Raw genomic sequence first — 24,491 nt, forward strand, 5'->3', positions numbered from 1 at the left:
ATTTCAAAGTTATTAACATCTCAAAATAGTAATTAAAGCCAAAAGAATTAATGTGTTAACACAGGGAAAGGATGTGGCTTCAGAACAAAAGACCAGAAGAACCCCTTTATTTCATGGTAAAACGTCAAGATTTGAGGAGTGGGTGGAGGAGGAGAATCCATCCCCAAGAGATCGAAGTGAAATATTCAGAAAAACTGGAAGAAAGTCAGGAGATACTGATATCCTGGAAGCTAAGGGAAAAATGTTTCAAGAAGTAAGGGATTGTTAGCAATATCAAATGCTATAAAGAGATTGTTTAGTGTGCATATCCTTGGATTTGGCAACTAGGGAATTACTGATTATTTAGTAGAGAGCTATCTCAGCAGTGGTGTGAGCAGAAATTGATTTGTGATAGGGGCAAATGGGTTTCCATTTCTTTGCATACAGTTTTCTCTCTACAAGTGAGAGATAAAGATGGTCCTTATCCTGAGAGAGAGTTGGAGAAGAGAAGTCGTTTTATGATTTGGGGCACTTATGTTTTATTTTTAAGAAGAGTTTTGAGCATGTTTACAGATGGGAGAGAAGAAGACAAATTAAACGGAAAGATTAAAGATATATGTGTGTGTCTATGTATGTGCATGTGTGGGGAAAGGTTGTGGGGAGAGAGACTGAAAGAGTCAAAAGTAGCCTGGTCAGATTTGGAGAAGTACAGGAGTATCTTTTTCTCTAACAGAAGTGCAAAGATAGACTGGGTGGGCATAGATAAATTCTAGAAACTCATTATCTGATAGTCTGTATTACTTTGTGGAAAGTGGGTAGCTTCTACTAAGAATGATAGGTAGTGTGAGGTAGGATTTAGAAAGTGTCTTTGAAGGGCCATCAAATTTGGAGCTTATAAAAGGGAGATGATCCCAATTAGCCAAGTTTTGTGGCTTTTCTCAAATCATCAGGATCATAGCTAGATGCTTCCAGTATTACCTTTTTTTTTTTTTTTTTTTTTTTTTTTAGCGTCATAAACTGTCAGGACCTTAACAGGAAGGCGTGTGCCCTTGTATTCTCTTTAGTTGTCTCAGTTTTGCCTTCCTGGTGGGTGATTCAGAGTCACACACGGTAGGTAAGGTGTAGAGGTGGAGGGTTGGGGGTAAAGGAGGAGTGACAGCTTGTGAGGGGAATGATCTTGGTTGGGCCAGCTATTGGTCATACTAGCCTTGGAAATTCCACCCTTTTTACTCACCCACTTGTTATTTCTTCATCTACTCACCAAATATTTGTTGAGAACCTTGGTTTTAGGCACTAGAAATAAAATTCTGAGCATAAGTGGCAAAGTCGCTATTCTTGTGAAGTTTAAAATCTCATGGGGGAAGACAGACAAGCATCAAATAACCTCCAAGTACAGACCAACAGCGACATCAGCTACCTGCTGTGAAGGGGAAGGCCAGGTGCTATGTGGGTGGCACACGGCCTGTTTTGAGCCTTCAAAAAGAAGTGCTCGGATGTTGCCCAGGGCACAGCATCTTTTGGAGTTGCCCGGCTGTGTGTGGATGAAGGAAGGCCTCTGAGGACCTTAGTGGAGGCCCCCATGGCCCCCGGTGATTTTCAGATGACAAGTCTTTCATGTGTTAGGGCACATCCCCAAATCTGCAGAGCATTGAGCCCTTCTGCTCATTCGGCTGCTGGGAAGGCCAGCCTGAACCCTGCATGGTTGATTTTTTTTTTTTGAACACTGGGCAGCTGATTTATACTTTCACCCTTTGGCTGTTTCTGTGAAGGAGGAGTTTTAAACATATCCCCAGAATGGCCTCGTGGGCACACCATGGTTTCCTCCAAGAACACTCAGAGGGGTAGGAAAGGCAGAGGTGGGAAACGTACGCAGGCCGTGAACAGAAAAGGCAGAATATTCATTCCCAAGTTCGGTCTAAAGCCCATGGTTGACAACTTTCAAGAGATCTCACACTGTATGTTGTGCTGTTTTTGAAATGGGACTGAGAAGACTGAAAAGCAATCCTACAAAATGTTACCCGTGTTTATCTCAAGGGTGGGATCATCAGGTAGTTTCAGTTTCGTTGTTCTTCTTAATTTCTTGCAAATACTCTATTTTCGTGTACTACTGTGGCAAATAGAAGATAAACAGCAAACGTGATCTTTTCCAAGTGGCGTCTGTTTGGGAGCAGACATACCCTGAGGAGATGTTTCCCTGCCGGTAGCTTCTTTGAGGCGAGTTACTGTGAATCTCAACCGCGAAGCCCAGCTCAGGGTGTGGCGACAGCAGCCTCCCTCGGTGAGAGCAGCGGGCGGCAGGGATGGAGAAGGCGCCTGTGTCAAGAGATCCGAGGGGCTTCAGGGAACATTCGAGGGAGAAGGTCGTGAGGCTCAGCCCTGCACACTCTGAAGCCTCCACGTGTGTCAGGTGGGGGCGTGGGGTGGGGCAGGCCTTCCAAAATGACACTTTTGTTTTCAATTAAACATTATCTGCACTGTCCATGGGGCAGAGCTGTGATGTCCAGTGTGTGGATGGGGCTTGACTGTGAGGGCCTCAGACACCAAGCCCGCAGATTCCTGAAAAAGCTCCGGTTCAAAATTACCAAAGCCTTCCGGGTCAGGCTGTGGAAGTCAGTCAGGCTCCGGAAGCCAAGTTCCGGAAGTCAGTAAGGCCTCGGAAGTCAAGTCCTGGAAGTTGGGCTTGCAATCATTAGGTGGAGATATTGTTTGTTCTGTGCTCAGGTTTGTCATCCTCCTTAAATTCAAAGGAGATAGAAGCTGCAAATACTTGTCAGAGTTTAGGTGTGATCGGAAAGGAATTTTAAGAAACGTTTATTATGTTTCAGACAGCAGCAGCCTCCCTCATGATGCGGGAAGGCAATGTGGGAGGGAAACCCTCTGGGGGCCTGATTCAGCTTGGCAAGTGTAAGAGAGCACCCGATGAACTTCCCGTAGGTATCCAGAAAAGAGCAGACCCAAATCCAGACAGAATCTTCTTTTCATGTTGGTGGATGGGGGTGGGGAGGAGTAGGCACATGCGTCCAGTCATAGGCATTCCAGAGATTAAAAATGCAGGAGCAGAGGAGGAAAATTGGAGAGATTTTAAACATCAGGAAATGTCTGCATGGGCTATTATATAGTCTTTGGAGGAGGTGGAGAGAGTCCCCGCGCGACCCCTTCGCTGCTACAAGCCAGCCTCATCGTAAAGGGACTTGAGAGCAGCCAAGGGGAGGAGTATTTACAGGTCCCGCATTGGTTCAGAGGCGGAGGCGAGCAGGATGCGGCTTTCTTTCTGGGCTTTGCGTTTCACAGTGAGGATTTTAACACTAATCCTGGTAAAGCCTGCATATCAGCGGGGAGTCAGGGTAAAACAATCGAAAATGTGGTCCTTCCCATTGAATAACCTGTGACCTTACAGCAATTGAACTATTGGCTGCCATCACTGCAAGTTAATAACCTATTTTATAGAACGGAGCCTACAGACTGTTTGAAATGGCTGTTTTTTTTTTCTTTCTTTCTTTCTTTTTTTTTTTTTTTGAACAACATTCCTGCAGAATTCCCTGGAGTGAGACTCAGGACAATATTAAATCCAATGAATCACGCAGCTTTCAGGAGGGCAGGGCAGCACGCTGCAGAGCAGCACTGAATGATGGCTTGGCCTGGCGTCCCTGGTGGCAGCAGTGGCCGCACCAGGCACCGTGTTCTCATTCAACAAAGACTCAGGTTAGTGAGCGAGATGCCTGTACCAAATCTCCCTTCCCTCTTTTTCAAGTTTCTGGATGTTGTGTAATTCTTTTTTGCAGCATTCAGTTCTGCAAGGAGCCTAGTGAATGCTTCCATCAGTGGACTATGAAAGGCATCTGGACAAGCAGTTGCCTCATGGTCTGTACACAATTCATTAATTTGAAAATTACTCCCGGTGACTGTACCTTGCTCTCAGGTCAGACTCAACTAACTCCAGGGAGTCTCATGGTCGGGGCAGGGTACACAGGCCTGGATGGGTTTACTTTGACTGTGCTGTGCTTGCCTGGGCCTGATCAACACCTACCCTCCAGCCCCTGGGGAATTCTGCTCTGCTCCTTACCACTTATTGGCTTGCTCGTGTGAGGGCCTTAAAGGCCATGCTCCCAAAAGTGGGCCTTGAAGACTGGGCTGGCCAAGGGGCCTGGTGCTCCAGAAATTTACCAGAGCACTCAGTTCCATCTACCTCCTTTGGAGTGGTAAGTTGCTCATAGGACTTATGATTGTGCTCATAGGATGTAGTTAGAATGTCTAGTATGTCTGCCCAACTGGATAAGGACCCTGGGGGAAGGAACAGAAGATTTGAGGCCGTGATGCTCCCAGGATAGTTCAAACACAGGCAAGTCCAGCGGCATTGTCGCGGATTTGTTAGAATTGCACAATCTCTGGCCTCACCCAGACCTATGAATCAGAATCTGCATTTAACTAGGTCTGAGAAGTGCTGCTTTTTAAAACTCATCTAAAGTTGGGCAGAGTTAAGCATCCCTGCCCCTGATTTGTAGTGTGTGGCTGCAGTGGGAGCATCCTTGCCTCGCCCTAGTTTGCCGACTTCCTATGGAGGGGATACGGCCTACACAGCCCATTTCTCAAATGCCCATTTCTCCAAACACTCTCCCAGCTGTGACTCATTTGTGTGTCAGGTCTTCGAGTGATGACTCAATACTGAGAAACCCCTTCATGAAGTGTGTCCTTGTGGTCTGATGATGCCACATGCAGTGCTGATGGGACTGATTCATCAGTGATGTGGGGAGATTAATCCCACTCAACCCTTTGTGGGAAGCACTCAAGCTGGCTTCACAGAGCTTTATGTTGACAGAGCTGAGTCTCTCCTCTCCAAATGCCTGTTGGGAAGTACAGGTAGTGCAGATGCAGCCTGGGCGTGTCCTCTGAGTGGGACTAGATCCTTCATGGGAGGACTGAGGGATGTGAACCTGGGGCCTCGATTGTCATCACTGTCACTGCTTCTGAGTGCTTCCTTTTCAGTGTACCCAGGATTCATCTCCTAGTCTGGCAGTGAAGGAGCCTGCCATGTTTTGGTTTGATGCCTTGCCACCCCTGCATGTGTGAAGAGAAGAACACTATAGTGACAAATGAGATGAAAAATGGCTTCCAAGAACTTAATTCAAAGAATTGTAACAGGTCCCCTTCCATAAGCTGGTTTCTTTGTGAACACCATCCATTCATTGTTGACCTCACTGGGTTCACGTGTGATGCAGCGCAATGGGATCTGGACATGAATGTGGGAGATGAAAGACAAAGACAGACTGTTCCATCGGTGACAAGAACTCTGTGTGTGTGTGTGTGTGTGTATGTGTGTAAGAATAGTCTCCATTATAGTATTTTTCTCTGCGACACACAGATGGAGGCTGTGGTGTAAGAGTTACACCTCTGTCATTCCTCCACTTTGTTCCGGGGAGCCCAGCCATCTGCACTCAGGTCCTCAGGTGGATTTGCCCTTTGGTCGTCAGGCTGCACTGTGAGTTCTGAATCCCTGGCTCCCCAGCCGGACTCTTCAGTGCACAGCTGCCACAGGCAACCTGGACGAATCCAGCCAGGCGGATAGAGCAGGGCTCACCTCGTCAAGGACTTTGCAGCCGCCTTAACTTTGAGTCTCCTTGCTTCTGTCAGGAGGTGCCACAACCTTAGACGTAGCTCTTGTTGGTGTTAATTATTTCCTTTTCATTTCCAGCTGGCACAGAGCTTTAGCACCTTAAGTTGCTCAATTTGATCTCTGCACTCAGGAACAAGGTAATTAAGTCAGCCACAATATAAGAAAACTCATCTGCCTCGACTTGTTGCCCGTCTTCAGACAGTGCTCCATCCTAAATCATTTGATAATGTAAGAGGCTTGGTGCAGTTTTCTACTTGACTGAGGGTTAGTTCATTAGGTCACAATCAGTAATTGATTCTCAGTGTGTCTCTGCTGGTTTTATTACAGTAATGAGGACTGTCGGTTTTTTCATCTCCTCTAATATGTTACCCAAACCATCAGCTTCTCAGTTTGGTGTCAGGATGACTTTGACAGGTTGTTAGCAACTATATGATATACAGAACATCACAGAAATATCTCAAACTGTGTTGCTGTATACCACACAGAGCCTTAGGTGGTCCCGAAATAAGTGAAAGCACTTGCAAGGAAAAAGTTACAGCAGCAATTGAAAATATGACTACAGGCTTGATGTCCTAATGAAGAAGTTCTTTGCACTGCTGGATCTGTTTCGACACGCAGGGCAGATTTCGCAGGGTTGGGTGGCATCTGCAGCTCTCCTCCGGAATATTCCTGAACAGAAAAAGGAAGAGTGCCCCTCAAGAACAAAGCAGACATTATCATTGCAAAAAGTTACACGTTCTTCATTCTCTCTGTGGAGCTCCTTTTAAAAAGTGAGCAATAATCTGCTATCTCTAAGCAATCTGATTTCCTCTTAATTTCTTTTCATCTTGAGCAGGGGAAATCCATGGTATGAAGGCCATGAGAGAGAAACGTAGTGTCATTTATTCTGCTTCTGCTGTGTTCCTGGATGACTTCAAACGTAGAAAGCTGCAAGAGACAAAAGGGGGAAAAAGCATTTTATTTTTTTGATAGATATAATCAAAATATTACAATAAAATTGACCATTTGTTTTTATCTAATGAACACATTTTAAAATTTAATTTTTCCCCCCAAGATTTTGGAGTGTTTTGAGGCTGAGGATTATACTCACCGGAGCAAGTACTGTTTGATGGTAACAGGAATTTTGAGTTCAGAATAGCTAGGAACCCTGGAATAATTCTCTGAGAATGAAACACCAAAGGCCACAAAGACAGTAATGTAGGATGCACTGGCTTCTCAAAGCCCTTACTAGCCTTGTATAAAGGATGATAGATAGAAGTCGAGTATATGCGAACTCTGAAATAAACTCTCTTTCTGAACCTTTTCAAAAAGAAGCAGCACCAAAATAGTAGACCAGTCATAATGTTCCCCTAAAAACCAGAAGCCATGAGACCATTGGGCAAAGAACAAAGAGCTCAGGGGTTTGGCCTGACGGCCTCAAGAATGTGTTTTGTTACATGGTGGACACGGCTAACCGTTTTGCTGTCTAACTCACGAATGATGATCCTTGGAAGATGAGACTGTGAGATGTGTCCAAAGTTAGATTCACATGCATTGAGAAAAACATTTCTCCTACCCTGAGATTGCAGAGGAGGGACAGAGGCCTGGAGACAGCTCAGGGGTGGCTTTGCCTCACTGACATTGTGGGTGACATCGTTAGCCAGCTCCAGCACGCTGGCATGGCATCCAGAACTGCCACTTTAGCCCATGTTTGCAGCCTGATATTATGAAAATCTTTCATCAACACTAAAAATAATATTTAGCAAGCCTCATCGATCCTTCTTTAAATAAAGCACCTATTTTAGGTGGAGGTTAGCAATTTTATTCATAGGATTAATTTCATCCTACAAACTGCTGTGCAATGTCTGACAAAAGATCTTTTTATAAATTCAACGTTGGAAAATAAGTCATAATCCCATCTGCTCCCTTCATTTCTCCCTGCTCTATAGAAGGCATGCAGCAATACAAGGTCTCCTGCAGGCCGAGACAGGTAGAACAGATATTAATAAATCACCAGCAAATATATAGATGAAGGTGACAGTGGCTATAAGAAATCAAATCATTACACTTGTTCTGCTGCTACACACTGAGGGACTAGTTCTTGGCATAGAACATGGACCCCAGAATATCTAAACTTCCAAATGTCCCCCAAGGCTTCCTGAGCTTCCAGGATCAACACTGTTCTGACCTCTGGCCTTCAACAGATGAAGCCCAAATTCTCCAAGAGAGGGCAAGTACATGTGAAAACAAACAAGGTTTAGATTCTCAATCTCTGTATTCTGAGTTTTCACAATAGTTGAGTGTGGGCAACTTTGTTAAAAATAAAGAAAGAAGGAAAGAAAGGAACGAAGAAAATACGGTGAATTTAAAGCAGACGCTTAAATAAAACAATCAATTGCTATATAAAACCTGAGTTGAGCAAGATTTCTATTTGCCAGTCCTTAATTAGGTTTTGAAAGAAAGGGAATCCCTCCACCAAGTACTAAGAATATTTTGCTGCCTGCTGCTTTTTCTGGCAGAATCTTCCTGGTTTGTGGAAAGAGTGCTATTCTGACATTGGATGCTGCTGAGAATCGGGCAACAGTCTTAGTGAGGTGACCATCATCTGAGGAGGTATGAGGTTTGGAAGCATCACGGGGCCCTGGGCACATAGGCTCCCATGTTGCTCTGACATGAAACATTGACCAAATGTCTTGGCCTCCCTGTGCCTTGAGTCACAGTAAAGCTAGTCTCCTGACGATAGTGATGAGTATTGTATGTGGGTACCAGAGGCCAGGCTCTGAGTGCTGAGTCTCAGGAAGACTCCCTATAGGTTTACAGAACCCCCACTCCTAGTAAAATACTTGATCGAACACACTTGCTGGATTTCTGTGATCAGTATCCGTTTTTCTTTCTCCTTCCTCCTCCCCCAGTCTCATTGCTGTTCGTTGTACCTTGAATTTCCCCTTGCCTGTATTTTCATTCAAATCCGAACTCTTATTTGAATCCAATGCAGTCTCACCTTTGGGTCTATATATAGCCTCTTGTCTATGAACTTTTGGTACAAATGCATCGTCTCCTCTTCTTGGACTTCCTGTGTTCTGATTATGAGACACTCAAAAACATGCTGGCAGTCGCTGAGGTCCAGGCTCCAGGCCTCCACGCTGATGCTCCTGGGCCCCCCTACCTGAGTGTTCCTTGGGCATCCTAAGGATGCTTCCTGAAGAAAGTCTAAGGTGGAATCCAACAGTCCCTCTCCCAGAGATTCTTTCTTTACTCCCCATTTGAGCCTCCAGAGCCCTAGCCCATGCCAGATGTTCAGCTGCCAAGCTTTCTGTCTCCGCACTAAACCCAGTCCATCTCCAGGCTTTACTATTGTGAATTCTAAATGTCTTTGATTTTGTCTGCTTTTATTTTCTCCTGATCACCCCCTGTGAAATTACCTACCTGAACCAGTGGTCTCTGGCTTGTATCTGGAGAAGACACGTAACTATCATCCTGCCTCTAATCTTGCCTCCTTCGGTAACCTCCCATTTTGCTGCTGAACTCTTCTTTCCAGAGCAGAGATCCAATGTCTGTACTTAAACCCTTTAATGATTCCCATTGCTCTTAGGATATTAGTATAAAACAGGACACATAAGGCCATTCGTGGTCTGGTATGATCTGCTTCCCTCCAAATCAATTTCTCAGCATCCCCTGCCTCTCTTCTCCACTTCCCCCACCTTGCAATTTTCATTCCAGCCAGACCGAACAGGTTCTATGACCCAGTCTCTAGAATATGACTGGTCCCTCTTGTCTCAGAATCTCTGTATAAGGGCCATCCTTGCTTGACTTAGGATGTCTTCCTTCTTGTAAGTCTCATGAGTGCAAACACCTTGTCTACTTCAACACGTGATCTGCATTGCTTAGAACAGGGATGAATAAATTGTAGACACCTCAAATATGTTTAATAAATTAATCAAATAAATGACATATAGGCATTCAAATGAGTGCTGTGCCCTTCATAGTATTTATCTTAGAAAACAATAGCAAAAACAAAAGAAACAAAGAACAACTATTTATTTTGCAAAGAAACAAACTCCTGATTTGTACTTGCTTAGGATGATGATGCCTAGGAGTCTCTCTCTCTCTGTCTCACACACACACACACACACACATACACACACACACACACACACACATACACACACACACACACACAGTCATTATCTAGCATGGCTATCCATGTTGTTTCCCAAGATGAGTTCCAAGTTACTATTGATTGTAGACATAAAATTTATTATCAAAGGATAAAAATAAATTTTTTTTGTCCCCAAGGAAATGTAAAGAATGTGGCTTGGTTGCAAAAAGTGTTTTCATGTAAATGCAAAGTTACTCCTCTATTTATTGTGCACTTACTACATGCCAAGTACTGTGCTAGGGACTGGAATTGCACTAAAGAATAAAAAATAACTCCTGCTCCATTGACTGCTGAAAAGATGCCTCGACATGCCTGCCGGCTTCCTACTTAAGAGGAACCCACTCCACATATCAGAGGAGGAAGGAAGAGGGAGGAGCACTGGGGGAAGGGAAAGATGGGTCAAGGAGAAGAGAGCCCTGCATTACCTCTGGGGCCCAGGGGCTTTCTGGAGAACTACAGTGGCTAAGGAGAATGTATTCAGTTGCCTTCGCTGTGGTAGGAATGGAAAATCTCCTCCAGCTCATCCGCATCATCCAAACCCTCAGCTGTCACTAAGAATGGAGGATGTTTCTTATTGTTGTTTTGTGTCTGTTTTTGAAGAGAGAATAAGAGGATCCGGGAGAGTGGGCATTTGGCAAACACAAACCTGGTGGTCTGATGCTTCACCCTGGGTGGTTTTGGACCCTTTGAACGTACCACATAATTGGCTTTGGTATTTTGCGTACCCCGCTCAGGGATGAGTGACACCAGCAAAAAAGAGGGGGAAAGTTCATCTTGGTTTTTGAATTCTGAGAGCATAGAATTCAGAGAACACAAAATATTCAGTTTATAAAATGTGTTTGTAAGAATGGCTGACAATTAACAGTCATGCACCCAATCCTGACAAGATCAAGATTCCCTGGGACTTTCAGATAGGGAAAGAGGAGTGCACAAATACTCCCTCTTCTGTTAGTGGGTCCCTAATGGAAGAGACACTGAGCTCTGTCATCCTTCTGCTGCACCATGAACACCTCATACAGAGCTAACAAAAACACCAGAAAGGATTGGAGAATCTGGGCATACTTTCCCAGGTAAGTCTCCATGGAAGCACCAAGCGCCCACAGTGACAGTGGATATAGGGATCTCAAGGCAGAGGGGACTTAACAGCTGCCCAGAGCTTCCCATAGCCAAGCGGTGATCAGCAGTGGCAGAACAATTCTCTGTGTTCTCTGTATGGAGATGGGTGAGAGCTTGCAGAGCAGGAGTGGGGCTGAAGGGTCCCTGCTCCAGCGACTGGCTCCCCAGCCAGAGGGAGAGGTCTCTGCTGCTGGGAGTCTCTGCTGATGTCAGAATGGATGACCCCGACGTGTGACAACATCTGCGGTCCTGGGGAAGATGAGCATTCTGACTTGCCTGGGAGTGTGCTCCCATCACCAGGCGGAACTAGCATGTGAGATGATAGTGAAGCTCTTAGCTGCACACAAAACAAACGTCCTTACTCAGAGATCACCACCACTAACAACTCTGAGGGTCCTTTTCTTCCATGGACACACACAGACTCAACTAAAGTTATATAGGATGTATCTAATCATCCATCAATCATCTGCTTATTCATCTATAGTATCTATCATTTGTCTACAACTTTATTCACTTGAGGTAGCAAAGACATCTTTTCATCTATGTACAGCTCTGTCTCATTCACTTTAGTAGCTACATAATATTCAGCTTAATGGTGGCATTACAATTTATTTAACCATTCCCCTATTGATGGAAATTTGGTTGTTTACAGATTTTAATGAGAGGATGGCATTCCATTTTATGAACTTATCATAATTCATGAAAGCATCTCTTACTGGCAGATATTACGCTGCAGGCAATGTTTACTGTTACAGTACTCAGTCAAAATCCCTGTACATATACCTTTATAATGTTTTTATTTTATTTTTTGTTAGATCCGTAAAAGTGAAATGGCATGGCCAAAGGGTATGCAAATATATTTTATTAGATAATTCCAAATTGCCCCCAAAATGTTTGTAGCAGTTGGTTGTTCCTGCCAACAATTATGAAGCTGCCTAGTTTTTCACAGCCTCGACAGCAATCAATGTTAACAATATATGACATGTTGACAATCAGATTTGGCAAAAACTATTTTGTTGTTATTCACTTCCTTATTCCTTTAATCAATACCGTGGTTGAGCATCTTTTCACAGATTTATTTGCCGTGTGTACTTCTTTTTTGCCTATAAGTATTCTTTATCCCTTTAGGGTATTGTCTGTCATTTTCTTCCAATGAGTTGGATTTCTCTGAATATGGGATATTAATAGTCAGTTGTAAATGTTTTCCCTCCCTTGTTTGTCACTTACGTTTTAATTTTGTTTAGTCTGGTTTTTATTGGGAAAAAGTTTATAAAATTTGGTAAGTCCCTTCTTTCCTTTTGTTTACTCTCACTGCAAGGCTACAGAAATGTTCCTCCATCTTTTCTTCCAGTATTCTTTGGATTTTATTTTTACATTTAGGTCTTTGATTCAACATACATGTATTTTTGTTGATAATATAAGGTAGGGATCTTCATCTTACTTTTTCCAAATGCATAGTCAGTTGTTCTCATTCAACATATTTAAAAAACCATACTTTTTGCTAATTTTAAATGCTGATTTTATCATAGATTAGAGACCCTTGTGTACTTAACTTGGTGTCTGGTGTCTGTGCTGCTTTTTTTGTTCCATTGGTGGATTTGTCTGGTGCCGAACTCTTACTTATATTTTCATCATCCTTGCTGTAAGTTGGGAGGCTTTTCAACCCCTGGAGTTCCTGGGAGGTAGAAACGACATGTTGGTTCTTCTGTTCCACAGAGGACAGAGCACACTGCTGAACACAGAGCTTCCTTTAGGAGAAAATTTGGATTTTCGCACATTCAGGAAGAAATTATTAAACTAAGTAGCTAAAACCCAAGGTAATAAAATCCCTGTTAATGGGCAGGAAGGCCTCCCCAGAACTTAAATTCTTCCTGGTGCTCCTCGTGTGCATTTGCATGCGGACAGCATCCTCCCCGGGCAGGAGAAGCACCTCTGGGAGAGCCTCAGTTTACCTTCCAGCTTCCAGGGTGCATGGCCTTTCCAGTTGCCATCTCAAGCAAGGGAGCACCTGCCTCAGGAAGGGCAGCTCCCGCTAAATCTTCAGATGTTAAAGGGCAGTGGGAGACGTCACATTCTCCCAGCAAGAGAGTAGAGAGAACGGGTAGGTGTAAATCTCAGGCAGCTGACTGTTGGAATCCATAAGGCCTACCTTGTAAATAATTCACTTCGGTGCAGAAAATCTGCATATGAGCATGAAATGTCATTTATAACTCATGGGATATTGGCTTGGCTGGGAACAACTTTCCAGCCAACTCATTAAGTGCTGCTAAGGAAGAGAGAATATAGCTGATGTAGAATAAACTCCCTATAGTAAGCCTGTGACTGTACAGACTAGTTAGCAGTATTCAAACTGAAAATAAAACTCAAGACTATGCCTGCGTAATCACTCAACCCTCCGTAAGCTCAACGGCTCTCTAGGGTTAGCTTGGCTCTACCTCATTTCCCAAGGTGCTTCCAGGCCTGCCCTTCACTGAAACCCAGAGCAGACCAGGAGAAATGTTGGCCGCAGTGCTTTCTCGTGAAGTGATGCGTACTTACTGGCTGCAAAGAGAATATATAATGTTCCAATTAAGAACTTATCGCCCTGAAATTCTGGAATCTCACATAGATGACTTGTGGAGAAACAAGATGGTCTTTGTAATGAGCTCCTTTTCTCTCTTTATTAAATATTGATTGACTATGGAAGAAATTCAATTTCCAAATAGAGTTTAAGTCTTATTCCTAGGGTATTTGGTAGTAAGCTTTTTATTTTTTTGTTTGCTTGTTTCAGTTTTGATGTGAGGACTGTGAACATCTCCAGAACAGGAGACATTTGGAAGAGCTTGTGCCCACTGGTATCTGAAACTTGGCTGCTCATGTGAGTGGGTGCTTTATTTTTATTTTTATTTTTCCGAGTGAGGCTGGGTATGTTGAAAACACAAAAAGCCTACAGTGGGAGAAAGAAGGAGTTTTTTACCTGTTGAAGGAAAAATAAAATTAATATGCCTTCCAGTTTAAATATAAGCCTCTGAAAACGTTTCCAGCCAATTGTACACTTATCTGTTGGTACACAGAGACCTTAACTAAGCACAACTGGAATCACTCTAGAAATAAACTCAAAGAAGGGCTGAGATTTCTTGGCCTTCTTCCCAAGAGAGTTATTTACTAAAAGACCAGGAGGGATTCATTATGAAATGGTTTACCTATTAGAAGGTCCCATGTCACTGGCTCTCAGAGGCGATTAGAGATTTGCAGGCTCTCACTGACGAAATGCTCATCCTGTCTCAAGGAGCGACCTCAGATAGAAGGAGGTCGCTGCAGTATACATGGCTCACTCTGTCTATCTATGTGGCCCCGTGCTCTATCACGGATGGATATTAATTTCATCTGGCCTAATTTCCTTTTTACAAAGTAATTTGATAGCTACCCAGCATGTGCACTCTCCTAGGTGGCTACAGATTGATTGCTTGATGAATGTTCTAGTTTTTTTTTAACTGCTAAGGTTATCGTTTACTCACTTTCAAAATATGTAGTATTTTTTTTTAACTGCTAAGGTTATCGTTTACCTACTTTCGAAATATGCTGTTGGCCCTTTTCCAGTCTTCAGAAACCCCTTGTATCCTGCTATGATTCCTCAGCAACACCATCACATGGAAAAGAACCAACAATGTGAAGAAACGAATATGGTGTTCATTTTCAAACTGAAAAAGGAAATAATTACAGTTACTATTTACAGTGTCTGGCTTTTCAAGCTTCATGCTACAAGCAGCTAACTCTTTGTCAAACAATTAATTTTGTTTAAAATAAATAAGTTTATATATTTAAGGTCGTGTTTCAGAAGTAAAACCAGAACTGTGGTTTTTATTGAGTTATAAAATTAGTTGGGGAAAAGATAATGCATGTAAAACAACTCTTGAGATCTGCCGTGTAGAATTTTAAGTATCAGTGTAAATTAAAAGCAGATTCACAGAGAGTTCTATGAAACCGAGTTCCCTATTAAGTTGAGGGTGCCAGACTGGATCATTTCTCAGGTTTCTCACGGCTTTTAAATACAATAAGTAAAAGCCCAGTGAGTTATCAAACAGATCTGTGACCAGTATGACTTTAGTGTTCCAGTGTGATTTGAGCATATACATCACTGACTGATTTTTTTTTTAGTGGTCAAAAATACAATTGACAATGTGCCAACAAAATTTTTCTCAAATCATGCCATATATCATTGGTTTAGCAGAGGTTACAATTCATAGCAATAAGTTTTGTGCCTTTTATTCTGAATTTCACAGTCTTTTAAGAAAGCATCTTGACTGATAATTGGCTGAAAGACCATAAACAAAATCAATGAAAATTAACATCAATGAAAATAAATCTAGTCAAGGTGGTGGCCATTGGAATAACAGGAGCCCTGAAGTTAAGTTTTATTTAGCATTCTTCTTCTTTCTCAGAAAGAAAAACAATAAACACATAGCAAATTAAATATGTGATCCCAAAACCAACTATATCCAAAAATTCTTGGCTAAAAACTTGTAGATATACTTTCAAGAAGTGGAAAAATGGAAGAAAATGATTTCCTTAAGCTAACAAATGAGAAAATTGTTAATATGGGGCCTTATCCTTTCTGTGGCTGGTGGCTCTCTCTGGTTGCAGATTGTGTGCACAGGGAAGGACAATGCCTCTTTCGTGTTATGAGGGGGCATGAGCCACCGTGGGAAGGAGAGAACTCAGTATTACCTGCTGTTAACTAGATGAAGCAAAAGTTGTTTTAATTAGGTTGGTTCTCCCAGCTCCCTTCCCCCAATCCCAGCATCCATCTACTGGTAAAATAGGGCTAGGCACCATTGAAGAATGTAGGATGGAGCTTCCCATAAGCTGAAAGTAGTTAAGCTTAGGGTCAGGGATCCACTGATGATGGGAGAAACTGGACTCGCCTTGCTGCTGGAGTATTGCAGTGAGAGAGAGCAGGTACTTAGCCACCCTTCTGTTTCAAAGCTGGAGCTACTTGGGTTGTATCATGTTTGAATTTTAATAGTTTACCAGCTAATAGGCCTCTAGCCTTGAAGAATTCAAGAAGGAAAAGGAGAAAGGTGGGACTTCTTAATGCTGCTAAAGTCTCTATTCCAGTTATAAAGAGGTGGAATTGGTGGATTTAATTATTGTTGAAATATATGTCGTTGCATCTTCACTACAAAATCAGGGTCTCTGTCTCTCTTTTTTTAAATTTAAAGTGGTCTTCAACATGCAACAATCATTAGAGAGCTACTCTGTGCATCATTTGGAGACAGTAAGGATTTTTAAATAATTAGGTTTGAATAAAATATACTTAGATCTGTACTGCTTGATTAAATGATGTTTTAATGTTGCAAAAGGGCCATCAGGAGGCATTTGCTTGAGTGGAAACCTGGGTGCTTCCTCACTGGGCTGAGGAGTAAGTGATTAAAGAAAGTCACTGGAGCATTGGGTCTCAATTCTTCCTTTACTGCTATGCTTGTCCTACGTTTGAAGCCAAGGAGTTGCTTGGGTATGTTATCTGGGCATTAACACAATAAAACCAAGTTGGAGATGATGGAGCAGAAAGAAATATTGGGAGCTTTCCTGGGCCCTTTTTCCAGGATCCTCCAGTTTTAGGATCCTCGGGCCCTGTCTGGAGATCCACTGACCTGGGGATCCACAGGTATTTGTGATATTCCACAAATGCCACCACTGCCAGTAGTGAGAGAGTAGTACTTCCACAGGAAAACTAGAAGCCAATGAGCCATTCTTAACGGGAATCCTAAGAGCATGAACAATATTCTTCTCCTAATTAGGATTTCATAACGTGTGAAGTGCATGGAGGCACCTGGACTTCTCTAGAGTCTGAATTTGGACATTATTTTGTTCTATTTGGGTTGATCGCGAAGCAGTTTTCCTGTAAATGTGACTAACTTAAGTAAAACAAATACAAAACAAAAACCAGCTTTAGGTCCCATGAGGAACTTCCAGAAATATCTAAAGTCTGTAGTCACTAAAGAACAAGTATAATTCCTAATGGCAATGCTTCCTACAGCATTCTGTGTAAACGTTGAACCCCAAGATATTAACAGGTTATTTTTAAGAAAGGAGGTTTTATTAATTTGGGAAACACTTGATAAAACAAAGTGCACAGGGACAGTATTTTGGGGGCAGTGAAACAAAATCCATTCCCCTCTATGATTCTGAGCTGCAGGCTCTCCTGTGGCTCCCACCGTGAGATATGGGTCTGGCTGGCAGGACCTCTGCTGTGGCCACAAGTCGGGAGTGGAGGGAGCTGAGGAGGTGGTGTGTGCAAGGTCTCTGTGGTCAGGGAGGGTCAGAAAAAATGGAAGATCTCATCCTAGTGTTTCTCTCACGTGGAGCTCTGTGGGGTCAGGGTGGGGAACATGACAGGAATATCAAAATAGTGTAAGATACCCAAGAACTTTGGGACTAGATGCCCAACTTCCATGTGTAGCTTGGGGAAGGCTGCAGGCCTGTAGGAGAAGCCTTTGTTCAGCTCAGCTCCATGTCCAGAAGAAAGTAAAATTGTGAGAGGAGTGGAACTGTTTCACATTTTTACAAACCTCTGTAATGCCCAGCTTAATAGAAGGCAACTGGGTTTTCTTATCTGCTTCTGCACTGAGTCTTTCGAAATACCTAACCTCATTCAGGCTCTGGAAAACCCCATTGCACATAATACTAATGTCTTAGTATTATCATGCAAGTAATTTTGAGCTTTTGGATCCCTGAAAACACCTCAGGGACTCCCGGACTACACTTTGAGAACCAATATGACGTGATTGGGGTTGAGACAAAGAGACAACATAGCCTTCACAAGTGGACAGCCAGAGTTCGGACTCCTTGGGGAACCGGCTTGACCCCCAGTAGTCCAGCCAAAGCCGCCCACCCAGCAGGGCCACTGGCCCAGAATTCAGCATAAAAACTGTGTAAGAGAGGCCAGTGGGCATTCACAGGATGCTGTGGGAGGCTGCGACCCCTTATTCCTGAGACAGGGGCGCACCATGGAGAGGGATATGGGGAAGCAGGGATATAGGAATTTGACTCAATGGGCACCTCAAAGATTGTGTCATCTGAGTCACTGAACGTCTTTCGCAGGGCTTTGCATCAACTGAACATTTAACCCCCAGTTTTTTTTTTTAATCAAAAGAAACTGAGCTGGCACACTTTAAAAAACAGACTGACTGTTCTTCAAAATATTAAATAGGGTTATCATACAACATAGCAGTTCTGGTCATAGAGATATACCCAAGAGAAGTAAAAACATATGTCCACACAAAAACTTGTATGCAAGTGTTCAGAGCAGCATGACTCATAATAGTCAAAATGTGGAAATGATCCAAATGTTCATCAAGTGATGAATGGATATACTAAATTTGATAAATCCGTAGAGTGGAATATTAGTCAGCCACAAAAAGGAGTGAAGGTAGACACATGCTGCAACAAAGATGAACTGGAAAACATTATACTTAGTGAGAGCCAGTCACAAAAGACCACATGTTGGATGATTCAATTTATCTGAAATGTCCAGAATAGGTAAAGCCATAGAAACAGGATGTGGTTGTCAGGGTCTCTAAGAATGGGGAGGAAGGAGTGACTGCTGATGGTCATGAGATTTCTTTATGGGGTTATAAAAATATTCTAAAATTAGTTATGGTAAAAGTTTCACAATTCTGTGAGTATATTAAAAACCACTGAATTGGACACTTAAGGCTACATTTTATAGTAAGTAAATTATATCTCTACATGTTATTTAGAAACACTTTGTCCTTAATTTATCATAATAGGACTTGAGAATTCAGTAAAAGACTTGAGTTCTCACTAATTGAGCTCAATAAGTTTCACTGTGAGATCAGATCAGTTATGAAAATTAAAATTCTGTATTAAAAATAATTCTACACTTTTCTTGCAAATCCCCTGCCCCAAATTCATCAATCTTTTTTCCTACAGGACTTCCCAGAGGTTTTACACATATGTCATTATGTCTGGTGAGGGTTCAAGGTTGAAGTGTTTCCCAAAACAGCTGCTCCTTGCACCTCTGCAATCTCAGAGCATTTTGTGTGGCTCTCTTAGTGTCCTAGAGAAATCAGTTAGAGAGGTTGTCCTTTTAACTTTAAGAGTAAAAAGAGGCTTTACTGATTTATATGGAAGGAGAAAAACCTTGGAAACAGAGTTAGGAGATAAATGTGTTTCTATAGAACAGAAACATTTAATTTAAAGGGACCTGAAGAGGAAGGCAGCCCCAGTGACCCTTCCTGGGGTGAGAGCTGTGCCAGGTGTGATCACACCACACCCCTCATCTTTCCAGCCAGGCCGTGAGGCCAGCGGGATGTCCCATGTAGCACAAAGAGATTTGGAGAAGTCACTTTGCTTATGGGAAAACAGCGAGAAGGTGATGGGATGGGGCTCTGGCCTCAGGGATGTCTCATGGTTCCCGTGCCCTTTTCTTTAAACTTCACAATCAGAAAATATGGAGCCAATAGCACTGACTCAAGCCCATTTCAGGAAAGAGCAGTGAATTAATAAATTACTTGTGCTGTGTCCACCTCTGTTTTGATTGGCTGGAGTATTTCTACTGTGATAAGTGAAATTTACCCATCACCTGTAAATTTCAAGTGTACAAGAGACATAAAAGTCCAAATTTTTTTTTTACTAATGGCCTTAATGAGCAAAGACACGGTCATTTTAGTGACACGTTTTTGGAATGGAGGCAGAACACAGTCAGTTTGTTAGTTGTTGTCTATAACTGTTTTATCCTTTAGTTTTCAAATCTACCACTCAGATTGAACTGTTCGTTGCAATGCATTGCTTCAAGAATGTTTGACCATTTTGTCTCTTCTTCATTCAACAATACAAAGAAGAAGACCACCCATAGTTGTAATCTGACACTTCTAGCTATTCAGTTATGACTTCTCTGAATGTACAGATATCATTTCTGCTCAACCAAGATAAGCCATGTTACAGTATTGATCCACTGACACTTAAAAATAAGTAGCAAATACAATCAACAAGATTCTTATTTAGTGACTACATTTTATTACGGGTGTCCACGTCAGGACGAAAAATGGAATATTTACTTTTCCTTCCTTGACCTGAAACTTTATGAATCATTTTATGATTGCACATACAAGTAGAAGCAATATTATATAGAAATCTGATGAATAATATATAGTTTATGTAATTAACTCAGAGGAGGGAGGATTTCTTTCCATTATTAAGGGGGTATGTTTAGGATACAGCACTTGGGAGTTTCACACTAATAATGTCCTTGCATGGGGTGGAGGATCACTCTTCCTTCAATTGATAGGACTGTTGAAATCCCTGAAAACTTTGGAAGCATCCCAGTGCACTTGCTATCCTGTCTGCCTGATGCCTGTATCACTCCAAGTCCTGTGCATAGTAATGGATTTTTAAAATCATTGTGACAAGGGATGAAGTGCATGTCCCTTGTCCTAGAGCCCATATCACATTGTAGTAGATGTCTCATAGTGACAACACCCCTGCCTCCCCAATCTCAGCAGTTTGTAACAATGAACACTTCTTTCTTATTTAAAATGTCTCACTAATGTGACACTGTGTGTCTTCTCATTCCCAGACTCAGGCTAAGGAGCAGAGATCTGGGAGAACAGGCCCTTTTCATGGAAGATGAGAAGTACAAGGGGAAGAACCAAAGCACACAATTGCTTTTAAAGCTTCTGCTCAGATGTGCTGCACATCACACTCCTCACGCTGTTGTGGGCAAAGCAAGCCACAGGCCAAGCCTGGTAGTGGATCAGCTCCCTCAAGTCTCATGGCGATGGGCGAGTGTATCTGCTGTTACTGAGAAAAGAGAGGGGTAAATAGTTGTGACAGATGATACAAATGTGCACACCTCAGCTGACACAACTCCAGTGGAACAGGCTGTCTGTTGTACTGGAACCAATGTGAGCTTTTGGATTTTCGTCGTCTGTGCATGAGAGAGATTCCACTGGACACCAAGCTTATCCACAGCCTCCATCCAGAGATATCTGGATTTAATGAACACCCAGTCACTGCCTGCAAACAGGAGATACTGAGTTTCCAGTACATAAGAACTCCTAGATGCATGAATACCTAAGAAGAAATTAAATGTGAAGATCTGATCAGAAACATAGTGGAACCAGTGAACACTGGCCAAAAGAAAAAAAAAGTCCCATTCCACTGCCTGGACAATAGCAGGAAGGAATTCCTTATAGTTTCATGCCCTGTATTGGCTTTAGAGTCATTAATGAACAGTATCTATGTCGTATGATCCATGAAGTAGTGAGAATTGTTCACACCTGAAACCATTTTCCTACTGGCTACAGAAACGTTACCATCATATGATTTATTATTAAGTGTTGTTTTCCTTGTCAACATTTTGTGGTTTAACAGCCCACCTAAGTGTGAATCAGTTATCAACTGGCTTTCTTATTGAAAAGACAGACGAGGCTGCATGAAAATGCTTAGCACATGGGTAGGAAGCAGTGGATGAAAATAGCAGAAGTGGGACCCAGAAGATGAACTCTTTTACATTTGATTATTCAGATTATATGTAAGTTCCCATCCTGCTGAAATCTCTTCAGCAGCAAGTTAACCTCCAACCTAAGAAAGATGGAAGAAATCAAGAGTTGAAGATGGAGGGGACAGGGACAGTCTCTGTATCTGTGTGCTCCCTGAGGTGGGGGCCCCTGCCTCTCCCATCTTTGCACTCCTCATGCCTACTGTGTACCTGGTGCAGACCAGCTGCCCTGAAATGTTTGAGGTGCTGTGTTACCATTGCCTCTTTTGATTGCCCACCGAGTGCCTCCTGAGTCATGCACCCCATCACAGCCCTCACGCAAGGCCTGGAGACAAACCCAGCACACACCGGCCTAGTATTAATTCATAACCATCATCATGTACCTAAGATTCTACCTACCTGGATGTTGATTGATGAAATTTATAAAGTATTAGAAGGACTTCAAATCGACTTACAACTATCACATATGAAATGCACAAAACCAGCTTTTAAAGCCTTCTATAATTTGTTTAAGACTGAAGAACTTTAAGACCATTACTTTTATTTATTTATTTGTTTGTTTGTTTGTTTGTTTGTTTGTTTTTTGAGGGACAGAGTCTCGCTCTGTCACCCAGCCTGGAGTGCAGTGGCACAATCTCGGCTCACTGCAAGCTCTGCCTCCCGGGTTCACACCATTCTCCTGCCTCAGCCTCCCAAGTAGCTGGGACTACAAGTGCCCGCCACCACGACTGGCTAATTTTTTGTATTTCTAGTAGAGATGGGGTTTCACTGTGTTAGCCAGGATAGTATCAATCTCCTGACCTTGTGATCTCCTCGCCTCGGCCTCCCAAAGTGCTGAGATTACAGGCATGAGCCACTGCACCCGGCCCTAGACCATTACTTTTAAAATGTAAAAAAAAAAAAAAAAAAAAAAAAAAAAAAAAAAAAAAAATGGAAAAAGGAAAAGGAAATAAAGAAGCAGCAGTGGGGATCAAGACAGAGGAAGGAGATGCTACCTGCCTGCTCCCATCCATCTCCTCTTCACAGTCAGAAACACTAAGAGGAACCCTGTGCTACAGGAGAAGACATTCCAGAAATTTTGTCTTAGGACTTTAACCTTTCCGATATATGACTGGGTCATAAACTTCCTTTTCAGAAGCTATTGATCACCCCATCACCTCTGCAAATGGGGTGTCTATAAATGCCATCTGTTGCCTGCACATTGGCTACTGGTTCATGAATGGTTAAATTTGTTGCAACTTTTGCTTCTGTCCTGTAATGAAGGAAAAGAAACTTTCTTCTAGGAGTGCAGTATCAAATTTGTCTGGGTAGGTTGAGTTTGTAGGTGTTGCAGGTGCACCTAGGCTTAAAGCATTTGGAGGTATCCTTGCATCTGTGTTAAGAGGCTCTCTCTGTAGGGGAGAGATCATTGACTCATTGGCCTGTATACTGATGTAATGTCAAGGGGAGGGCCCAGTACCTTTTCTGAAAGGGGCAGCTCTTCCTCAGATTGGGAATTGGAATTGGGAGGTTGTCTTGGCCAGAACTGAGAAAGAAAGAGCTCTGGATTGACGTCTCATCTTAAACTTCGTAGAATCTGGATTTGAGAGACAGAGCACTCACAGGAGATTGGGGCAAAAGAGTGCTTTGTAGGACCATACCTGTGCAGTGATACGTCTCTCTCATAACCCAAAGTTAAAGACCCATAAACTCACTGTGGTAAGTGCTTTCTTCTGCAGCAAATTCCCCTTGAATATCCGTCCCATTCCTGCAGAGTCTTGTTTAAATGTTCCCAGCTGTGCTATAGGGAATCGGGGAGGAGCTGTGGACACATACTGGTCCATGTGGGGGCTGCGGCGGTGACCAGTGAGAGGTCTCCTTGATGACAGCGACTCTGAGGACACAGAGCTGGTGCTATAAGACCTGGTAACTAAGTTCCCAAGGAGCTTTTCTCTTCTTTGCCAACCTTGAAGATCTGGGTATTATTTTATGAAGCTGGATGGAATCTTCCCACATGTAGAGTTCTCAGGTCCAGGTATTATTTTATGAAGTCGGATGGAATCTTCCCGCACATGGAGTTCTGAGGTTTCTCAGGTTGCTCTCTGGCTCAGTGATGCTGTGTGAGAATGTTCAACCATATCTCCACAGCACAAGCTTTGGATCTGATGTCAAGAAGCTTTTGTGAATATTAAAAATGAACCGCATCTCCCTGAATCAAAATAAATACTACTATATGCACTTCAATGGAAATAAAATCTGGGATTCTTTTTGGGCCCTAAGCAAAATGTAGAAATTCATTTTCCCATCAGACTTTTCAGTAACTTTCTTTTAACCTAATGAGACACTCCACAGGAGACTAACATTTCTTTCGCTGAATTCCAAGTGTAGGTTTCCTGGGTTGTCCATTTAATTGTTAAAGTGAGAGAGATTCTGCTGGAAGACAAGCACCATGGAACAGCAGGAGGAAAGCTGAATGGAGGTTACTTGGGAGCTACCCCAGGAAGAAGCGCTGTGCAGACCATCATCGCAGGGTGGAGAGTAGCCATGAGACGTGTGTGGTGGCCTCTGGATGCTGCTGTGCTGCCTCATGGGAATTTTCACAGATCTTCCACTGTTTGTAAATGGTGCCCAATGAGCGGAAAATTAAGTGGTACTTAACACACACACGTTCACCAAATACTTGCAGCGTTATCCCCATAGTGTGGATGGCTTTTGACAAGGTGCCTGATGAAGAGAGATGCACATAGTTGTGAGTCCCAGCCTACAGAAGCTCATGATGGGTGCTCCACAGTGTTGGTGTTGAGTAAAAATGCCCAGGACAGTATGCACTGTGCTTGACGCACAGTATGACTAAGAAAATACCTGTTATTATGTGAACAGTGACCATATGCACAGCATACAAATCAGTAGCCCAGTGCTGTTCTGATGGTCTTGTCCTGAGTGGTTTTTCCCATCTAGTTGGAGACAAGACTCATTCTCTAGAAAGAAGAGCAAAAAATGGTGGGTCCCACCAAGGCCATGGACAAGGGAAAGGCAGAAACGTGCAGAGGGAGCAGAGACAGAGGAGGCTTGAGACCTGTGTGGAGGGACAGGAAGGGAGCTCGGAAGCCCGTTTTGTAGCAGATCCCAAATTGTGAAAGTTGATAGTTGTGGAGCACACATAT

At 42.8% G+C, this 24,491-nt stretch overlaps 1 protein-coding gene and 1 long non-coding RNA gene across 6 annotated transcripts, besides 1 other annotated feature; one reads left to right on the forward strand and one right to left on the reverse strand.

Annotated features, from left to right (window-relative positions):
- The first annotated feature begins 1,053 nt into the window (after positions 1 to 1,053).
- Positions 1,054 to 22,269, forward strand: LOC105372200 (uncharacterized). Of its 4 annotated transcripts, none has more exons than XR_007066471.1 (5): positions 1,054 to 2,700; positions 3,513 to 3,681; positions 8,089 to 8,182; positions 13,615 to 13,701; positions 20,425 to 21,926. It is a non-coding gene; the product is annotated as an uncharacterized LOC105372200 (long non-coding RNA). The 4 variants fall into 4 exon arrangements; XR_935635.4 differs by lacking the exon at positions 20,425 to 21,926 and adding an exon at positions 14,424 to 14,648; XR_935636.3 differs by lacking the exon at positions 8,089 to 8,182 and having other exon boundaries at positions 20,425 to 22,269.
- Positions 4,068 to 5,267: an enhancer, noted in NCBI's record as "P300/CBP strongly-dependent group 1 enhancer chr18:73120415-73121614 (GRCh37/hg19 assembly coordinates)". NCBI's record gives its function as "activates an origin of replication core promoter dependent on BRD2, BRD4, P300/CBP, MED14 and CDK7 cofactors, with strong dependence on P300/CBP, by STARR-seq in HCT116 cells {active_cell/tissue: HCT116}" and the evidence as "EXISTENCE:reporter gene assay evidence [ECO:0000049][PMID:35650434]".
- SMIM21 (small integral membrane protein 21) lies at positions 5,084 to 23,311 on the reverse strand. Of its 2 annotated transcripts, none has more exons than NM_001037331.3 (3): positions 23,043 to 23,311; positions 14,394 to 14,524; positions 5,084 to 6,517 (listed from the first exon to the last, which is right to left on the reverse strand). In NM_001037331.3, the coding sequence occupies exons 1-3, from the start codon at positions 23,169 to 23,171 to the stop codon at positions 6,472 to 6,474; spliced, it is 306 nt and encodes a 101-aa protein (NP_001032408.1). In that variant the 5' UTR covers positions 23,172 to 23,311; the 3' UTR covers positions 5,084 to 6,471. The 2 variants fall into 2 exon arrangements, with proteins under 2 accessions (NP_001032408.1, NP_001290411.1); NM_001303482.2 differs by lacking the exon at positions 5,084 to 6,517 and adding an exon at positions 11,625 to 13,800.
- Positions 23,312 to 24,491: the final 1,180 nt, after the last annotated feature.

This window comes from Homo sapiens, chromosome 18 (genome assembly GCF_000001405.40).
Source record: "Homo sapiens chromosome 18, GRCh38.p14 Primary Assembly".
Classification (NCBI taxonomy): domain Eukaryota; kingdom Metazoa; phylum Chordata; class Mammalia; order Primates; family Hominidae; genus Homo; species Homo sapiens.

Bases quoted from the DNA above. Each gene is read 5' to 3' on its own strand.
- SMIM21 (NM_001037331.3), bottom strand. From the start codon at position 23,171: ATGGACCAGTATGTGTCCACAGCTCCTCCCCGATTCCCTATAGCACAG. The intron at 14,525-23,042 runs GTGAGTTTATGG...TTCCTTTTTCAG, and splicing joins AGAAGAAAGCACTTACCACA to TTTGAAAATGAACACCATAT. The intron at 6,518-14,393 runs GTAGGTAAACGA...TGTCTCTTGCAG, and splicing joins GCCAACAGCATATTTCGAAA to CTTTCTACGTTTGAAGTCAT.